Raw genomic sequence first — 8,780 nt, 5'->3', positions numbered from 1 at the left:
GGTCAGTGGTGGGGTAGGAGAAGGAAAGGTCATGGCTTTTGCCCTCCAAGGAAGTTGCAGGGAAACTGTCTCTGATTTCATTATCAAAGCGAGGCCCCTTTCTATTTCTCCATTTCAATACCTTTTCTACTGACTTCAGATCTATCAGATGTTATAATTATTTCCCACTTGTGTTTGTGTAACTGTGTTCTGACTATCCACACATTAGGTGTGGGCTCTGTGAAAGCAGGGACCATATTGATCCTGTTCAATGTCATACCATATCCCTAGCATAGAACTAGTAGAGGCATAACAAAGATCTGTGAAAAAGTAAATGCATGCATAAGTCAGTTGATCAATTAATGTACATCACTTGGCAAAAGAATAAAAGGATCACGAGAGCAGAAGAAAGAAGACTTTATATTTTGCAGAAGAAAATTTTCTGTGTCTTCAAATGATCACAAATATAATTAATAAAGTTGATGAGGCTTTCTTCAAAATGGTGCTTGTAGAAAAAGTGAGAGAAAGGCAAAACAAGAGAAATAATATGGATATTTAGCATTCTGGATGTTTGCTAAGTGACAATTTAACCATAAGAATACACTTCACAGGCCGGGAGTGGTGGCTCACACCTGTAATCCCAGCACTTTGGGAAGCTGAGGCAGGCGATCACGAGGTCAGGAGATCAAGACCATCCTGGCTAACATGGGGAAACCCCATCTCTACTAAAAATACAAAAACAAAATTAGCTGGGCGTGATGGTGGGCGCCTGTAGTCCCAGTTACTCAGGAGGCTGAGGCAGGAGAATGGCGTGAACCTGGGAGCTTGCAGTGAGCTGAGATCACGCCACTGCACTCCAGCCTGGGCAACAGAGTGAGACTCCGTCTCAAAAAAAAAAAAAAGAGTACATTTCACTCCATTGTCGAGAGAGAGATATATATATATATAAAATACATATTAAATTATGTGTGTGTATATATATATCTTTTAAGACCAATTTTATTGAGATATAATTTATAGACAGTTAAAGTCACTCATGTTGTGTATAATACAATTAGAATTTTGACAAATGTGTACATACAGTTGTATAATTGGTGCCACAATCAAGATATAAAATATTTCCATTACCCATAAAAAGTTTCCTCAGTCCCTTTTGTGGCCAATGAATCCCCACCTTCCTGCAACCAATGGTTTTCTTTCAGAGACTATAGTTTTTTGTTTTCAAACTTTCTGTGAATAGAATATTACACTGTGTATTTGATAATTGTTTTCTTTCAATCAGCATGGTGTTTTTAAATTCATCTATGTTATGTATATTACTACTTCATCCTCTATTTTTGCTTAGTAGTATTCCTTTTCTAGCTAGAAAGTAGTATCAAGATACTAAAATATATTTGTTCATCACTTGTTGGTAGGCAACTATAAATAAATTTATTGCCATAAGCATGTGTATACAAGCTTTCTGTGAGCATATGTTTTCATTTTTCCTGTATAAATTTCTACAAGTGAGATTTTGGGGTCATATGGTAAATCAGTACCAAAGTATTTTCCAAAGTAATGTATTATTCTTCATTTTCATCAGCAATATGTGGGAGTTCTAGTTGTTCTACATCTTTACTAATATTTGGAATCATCAATCTTCTTAATTTTAGTCATTCTTTTTTTTTTTTTTTTTTTTTTTGAGATGGAGTCTCGCTTTGTCTCCCAGGCTGGAGTGCAATGGCACAATCTTGGCTTATTGCAACCTCTGCCTCTCAGGTTCAAGTGATTCTTCTGCCTCAGCCTCCCAAGTAGCTGGGATTACAGGCGCCTGCCACCACGCCTGGCTAATTTTTGTATTTTTAGTAGAGACAGACAGGGTTTCACCATATTGGCCAGGCTGGTCTTGAACTCCTGACCTCATGATCCGCCCTCCTTGGCCTTCCAAAGTGCTGGGATTACAGGCATGAGCCACCGCGCCCGGCCTTGATGACGTCTCTCTTTCACTTTTGTTCCTGACAGTCCAGACTGCACAATTTCGGATGTGGGAGACTGGGTGATTTCTTTGATCTTCCCAACCAAATATGACTTACTTAAGGATTTTACCTGTAAAATACATTATTAAAGGTTAAGAGAAGGGTGACAATGGTGGCCTCCTTAGCTTAACTGAATGGTTATGGTTTTTAGTTGTAGTTGCAATCTTATGCTTGTGTGGTTCTTTGATTAGTGTTTGCTTTCTCTATCCTATACTATTAGCTTCATGAGAATAGGAAAATTATTCCTCTTTGAACTCACCATTGTATTCCCAATTCTAGCACAGCGCCTGGGATTTCCTCTGTATGTGTTTTTGAAATGCACCCAATAGATCCACAGACAGATTTTAAAAATATAAACATAGAAACAAATCCTTCTGGTCTTGAAGCTTGAAACTTACATTTGTTTTCTCTGAGTTTCTTCCTCAGGAAATGGACTCTCAGCTCTCTCAAAAAGTATCAAAGAAGTGAAATTCATCAGACCACTGTGTCGAGACAATGAGATGCCAGATGCCAGATTCCTTATTTGTCATGATTGCTTCCTTAGCCCTCCCTAGTTCCTGTTTTCCTGCTCATAGTTACATTTCTTCCTTGCTATATAATCCCCTAATTTCGGCTGGTTGAGGAGATGGAATTGAGACTGATATCCCATATCCTTAGCTGTAGCATGCAATTAAAGCCTTCTTCCTTGGCAATATTCATTGTCTCAGTGATTGGCTTTCTGTGTGCAAGTAACAGAACCTAGATTGAACTCCTGGTATTTCAGTAACATTTTGTGTGTAAGAAAGAGGCTGGAGGAAGGAGAGTAGGGGAAATAGGAAGAGTGTCTTAATATTTTTGTTGCTATAACAGAATACCACAGACTGAGTGATTTATAAAGAAAATAAATGTATTTAGCTCTGAGGCCTAGGAATGCCAAGAGCATGATGCTGGCCTCTGGAGAAGGCCTTCTTGCTGCCTAACAACATGGCAGGGGGCATCACATAGTGAGAGAGCAAGAGCAAAAGGGCTTATGATAAGGAACCCACTACTATGCTAGTGACATTAATCCATTCATGAGGGCAGGACTGACATAAATCTATTCATGAGAGAAGAGGGATTAAGTTTCCAATCTACGAACTTTTGGAGGATACATTCAAACCATAGCAGAAAGACAGACAGAGATAGATATGGAAAGAGGGAACAAGCACACATCACACATACAAAAACTGGACAATATTTTTGTAAATGAAATGCCTAGAGCCTCTCTCGTATATTGTATTTGTTGGTATTTTCTCAATTTAAACTTATCACTCCATAATTTCTCTTTTTCTTCCCCAAAATGATGTACATGTTTCTTCCTTATAACCATAAAACACAGTAATTGTTTCCTGGAAAATTTTAAATGTCTCACTACAATTCAAGTATCATACTTACTATATGTTTTTTATCTTCTGTATATTTTGAAAATGTAAGAGCATTATTGTCTTATACAAAATAGGTGCTAGCAGAGTGAAGAGACAACCAAAAATAACTCAATAAGAAATGGACAAATGATCCAAATAGACATTTTTCAAAAGAAGACATACAGGCCAACAGGCATATAAAAAATGCTCAATATTACTAATCATTAGAGAAAGGCAAATTAAAAACACTTTGAGATATCACCCCATACGTGTTAGGATGGTTATTATAAAATGACAAAATATAACAAGTGTTGGAGAAGACTTGAAGGAAAGGCATCATGGAAAATAGCATGGAGGTTCCTTCAAAAATTAAAAATGAACTACCATATGAACCAGCAATCCCACTACTGGGTATATATCCAAAGGAAATGAAATCCGTATGTCGAAGAGATATCTGCAACACCATATACATTAAATCTTATTTATATATTAGCCCAAGATGTGGAAACAATGTAAGTGTCCATCAGTGGATGAATGAATTTTAAAAAGTAGTATATATACACAATGAAATACTATTCAGCCATAAAAAATAATGAAATCTTATTATTTGTGACAACGTGGATGAACCTGGAGGACATTATGTTAAATGAAACAAGCCAGGCACAGAAAGACCATATGATTTCACTTTTATGTCGAATCTGAAAAAGCTGAACTCATAGAAGTAGAGAGTAGACTGGTGGTTACCAGGAGCTGGACTTGGGGTGGGGAGTGGGGATGTTTATCAAAGGATTCAAAATTTCATTTAGGAGAGGGGAAATATTCAAGAAGAGATCTACCGCACAACATGGTCACTATAGTTAATAACAACATATTGTATTTTTGAAAAAAAATGCAAAGAAACAAAGTAAGTATTAAATAAAAACTGGTTCTTTGAAGCTTTGGCACTGTAATATATGAAGGCCAGAAGCCACATTTATATAGTTCCGTTTCTTGAGCATCCAAGACAATGGATGAGATGACAGTGTTGAGGAAGACAGGTCACTCACTGCGAACACTAGATTCAGCTTCTCCCCCTGCTGTTTGACTCATTCTGCAGAAGGTGAGAATTTATCTGAAGGAGTTTACATATTTTTATGTGACAATGTATTCCTGAGAAGATACCAAATTCTTTCTTCTACATCAAAAATACAGCATGAAACTGACAAGAGAGCACATAAATGATGATTTTTTTTTTTAAGTTTCCAGGAATATCACATGTATCATATTACTGAAAAGAAAAAGAGCATTTTATGCCATGAAAAACTTTGGATATCCTTGAATAATGTTGACTAAAAACAGTGAGTTTATTTAGTATTCATTGTGTCTATATTTGGAGTGTATATTTTTAGTATTTGTCATCTTGCTTATCAAACTCCTGAATCTCACTTAAAAAGTATTTTCCAAAGTTTTTGAAATTTCTCCACAAAAGAAGAAAAAACAAAAAAGCAAGTATTGGAAGTCAAATAGGTTTGAGAAATATTATGACACATGTCCTTCTTGCACATCATAAAGCCTCTAACACTTTTCATAGTAAACCAATAAATGAAACTCAGACTTCTTGCTTTGCTTAATCAAAAAATTAAAGTTTTCCAAACTTCTTTGACTACAGAATCTTTTGACAACACAATATTGATCATTGCACACTTTGAGAGATATTACTCTACAAAAGTCACTGCACAGCACCACTAAAATATGGTGACCGATAAAATGGGCAAAGGTCATTCAGTGAAAGTTTCAAAGCAAAGAGAATGAATGAATATATATATATATATATGGATGTCTACTTTTTGGATTACAGTTTTCAGATTATGTTTGTTTTAAATAAGCCAGTCTGCTTTCATAAAAATTATACTTTTAAGCCATTTTCTGATGAGACATTTGTCATCATGAGAACAATGTAGTAAAAGTTTGTTACACTGGGGATTAAGATATTAGAGTTTCCATTCAAGATTCCCTAATACTGGAAGAGGTTCACTTAAATTCCATGATTCTATGAGAGGAGTCAAATCTGAGGTGCAGGCTCTGCACCTTCCCAGGCCTGCAGGGGCTTTGCACCTTCTTGCAGAACATTTGCCAGCTGTTATCGCTTCACTCTTAGGTCACTGCCTTCAGTCAAGTCTTTTTTTTTTTTTTTTTTTTTTAGACAGAATTTCGCTCTTGTTGTCCAGGCTTGAGTGCAGTGGTGCAGTCTCGGCTCACTGCAACCTTCGCTTCCCGGGTTCAAGCAATTCTCCCATCTCAGCCACCTGAGTAGCTGGGATTACAGGCACCCGCCACCAAGCCCAGCTCATTCTTTTTGTATTTTTAGTAGAGATGGGGTTTCATCATGTTGGCCAGGCTGGTCTTGAACTCCTGACCTTGGGTTATGCACCCACCTTGGCCTCCTAAAGTGTAGGGATTACAGGCGTGAGCCACCATGCCCGGCCCCAAGTCAAGTCTTTTTCACAGCCTTGGTTCACCATAAAACTAAGGTGGACAATTGTCATGGACAGAATTGTGTTGCCTCAAATTTATGTTGAAGTCCTCACCTCTAGTACCTCAGAATGGGGCTGTATTTGGAAAGAGGACCTATAAAGAGGTAATTGAGGTAAAATTAGGTTATATGGGTGGGCCCTAATCAGTAAGACTGATTTCCTTGTAAGACAAGGAGATGTGGACAGAGACCACACACAGACCACAGGACAATCATGTGAGGACACAGTAAGAAGGTGGCCATTGGCAAGGGAAAGAGAGAGGCCTCAGAAGAGACCAAATGTGCTGATTCCTTGACCTTGGACTTCCAGCCTCCAAAACTGTGAGAAAAGAAATTTTTTATGGCTGCATAGTATTCCATGGTGTATATGTGCCACATTTTCTTAAAAATGATGAGTTCATGTCCTTTGTAGGGACATGGATGAAATTGGAAATCATCATTCTCAGTAAACTATCGCAAGAACAAAAAACCAAACACCGCATATTCTCACTCATAGGTGGGAATTGAACAATGAGAACACATGGACACAGGAAGGGGAACATCACACTCTGGGGACTGTTGTGGGGTGGGGGGAGGGGGGAGGGATAGCATTGGGAGATATACCTAATGCTAGATGACGAGTTAGTGGGTGCAGCATACCAGCATGGCACAGGTATACATATGTAACTAACCTGCACATTGTGCACATGTACCCTAAAACTTAAAGTATAATAATAATAAATAAACAAAGAAAGAAAGAAAGAAAGAAAGAAATTTATGTTACTTAAGCCACTCAGTCTGTGGTATTTTGTTATGGCAGCCCTAGTAAACTAATACAAATATTTTTAGGGACAACAAACCATGGACTTTGTTATTCTAGTAAGATGACTTTAGCACTATTACCTACTTCTACCTTGAAGTGGTAAAAAAAGGCAGTGAGAAGCATTTCCATGGAGTGTATAAATCGTGTCCCGTGAAACAGAATTAGCTAATAAGGTTAACACCTGTCAGCTGTATATGATGCTGCGTCTCCAATCTCCATCCGGACAGCAAAGGGGAAGGCATGGACAGGAGACCTGCCTTCAGAAGAGCAGCTGACAAAGGGGCCCACAGCCTGGGGACGGTGACGGCAGTAGCCCCCCGAGGCCTGGGATCCCACAGCACAATTGTGAAGGGAAAGTCTTACTTGCTGGGCCCAGATGTGTAATTTTCTCCCACCACTGTTTTTTTTTGTGAAAAATTCTTAAATAAACATGGTGTTGGACATTTTTCTGACTAGGAAGTTAGGATATTTGCTTTTCTAGCATCTTTATTAGATGACTTTTTATGTTTGCAAAGTCACTCAGAAAAAACTTCATCCTCCCAACACCTCCCTGGACCACAGTCCCCACAAATGACATTGAACTCACAACATAAAGGAACTCACCACTAGGTAAATAGGTGCTTGACTGTGATTTAACACCTGAATTACTAAAATTGATTGCAATAATTATCCAAAGAAAAACAGCCAAGTGCAGCAGTAACGACAGCCTCTGAACTCTCTCCACATCTTCTTGCAGACAGCGTCTGAGCTGTTTCCATGTCTTCTCCGGGACAGTCTCTGAGTTTCTGAGCTCTTTCCACGTCTTCTCCGGGACAGCCTCTGAACTCTCTCCACGTCTTCTCTGGGACATCCTCTGAGCTCTCCACGTCTTCTCTGGGACAGCCTCTGAGCTCTTTCCACGTCTTCTCTGGGACAGCCTCTGAGCTGTCTCCACGTCTCCTCCAGGACAGCCTCTGAGCTCCCTCCACATCTTCTCTGGGTCTCCTGTGGAGTCTGATCACCTTTCAGTTAAGGCATCTCCTGTGAGCAGCCCAGTTGGCTACTCTGAGTTCTGGGGGTAGCTGTCCTTGGTTTCTCTGAATTGCCCAGAAACCAACCTTTCTGTTGCCCATCGTAGTGCCTACGTGGCTTAGCTGGAGCCCTACCCTGCTTTTGTTGCCCAACAAATGCCTATGTGACAGAGCTAAATTCCCATTCAGCTTTAACTGCTTAGTTTTAGAAAACAGGATGTCTGGGGTCAGAAGTTCCTTCTTAGGACTAAACTGGCTGAAGCTGGCAAAATCCGCAATGGCAGCTTGACCTCTGAAAAACCTCTAGCTTCATTATGATCCAATTTCCATGCTAAATGACACTCCCACTGGCACCTTGACAGTTGACAATCACCATGACAATGGCCAGAAGAGACCAAAAACAGGCAGAAAAGAGGTGGCTCTTTGATTCCAAAAAAACCTACCTCCCTTCCCAAGAAAAGCTATGAATATTTCTCCCTTTCCTCTGTATACCCAGCCCCTTCATTAAGAATCCTCAGTTCTCAGGCTCTGAGAAGTTGATTTGCAGGCTATGCTCCCACTTCTGCAATTCCATGGCCATTGAAAAAAGCCCACACTGTTTGATACTCACTCTCGGTTTGGTGTATTGGCTTCACACCAAACAAGAAAGAGCTCCTTTAGGGGTAGTCAGGACCCTGATTATATTCCCACATAGAAACTGTTCCCACTCACTACTGGCACAGCAGAACACATAAACTGTCAGATGGCTCCATTTCAATGATTTGACTTGTAATTCTCAATTGTTTCTGTTCCTAAGATTTTAGGACTTTCTATCAACTCATAAAAAAAATCTTTAAAAAGGTAAGGCAACCTTCAAATCTAAGATGCTCAGCTTTAAACTAGTAAGTTCTTAAGGATGTTTTTTTTCCTTCAAGGAAACTATTCTCCTCTTTGCTGAGCAATAATACAGGTTTTAATATTAAATAAGTACACAAAGTAAAAGAAACAGACAAAAATGTCTTCATAGCAAGGCTGTTAACAGATTTCTTTCTTTGTTTTTTATTTTTGAGATGGGGTCTCACTCTGTTGCCCAGGCGGGAG

The 8,780-nt window shown here is 39.1% G+C and overlaps 1 long non-coding RNA gene across 1 annotated transcript; it reads right to left on the bottom strand.

The window, feature by feature from the left end:
- Positions 1-1,987: 1,987 nt before the first annotated feature.
- Positions 1,988-7,839, bottom strand: FAM74A1 (family with sequence similarity 74 member A1). The gene is made up of 2 exons (NR_026803.2): positions 7,294-7,839; positions 1,988-2,064 (listed from the first exon to the last, which is right to left on the bottom strand). It is a non-coding gene; the product is annotated as a family with sequence similarity 74 member A1 (long non-coding RNA).
- Between the last annotated feature and the right edge of the window lie 941 nt (positions 7,840-8,780).

The sequence above is a fragment of the Homo sapiens genome, chromosome 9 (genome assembly GCF_000001405.40).
Source record: "Homo sapiens chromosome 9, GRCh38.p14 Primary Assembly".
Lineage (NCBI taxonomy): Eukaryota > Metazoa > Chordata > Mammalia > Primates > Hominidae > Homo > Homo sapiens.
This window is presented reverse-complemented; position numbering and strand designations above follow the sequence as displayed.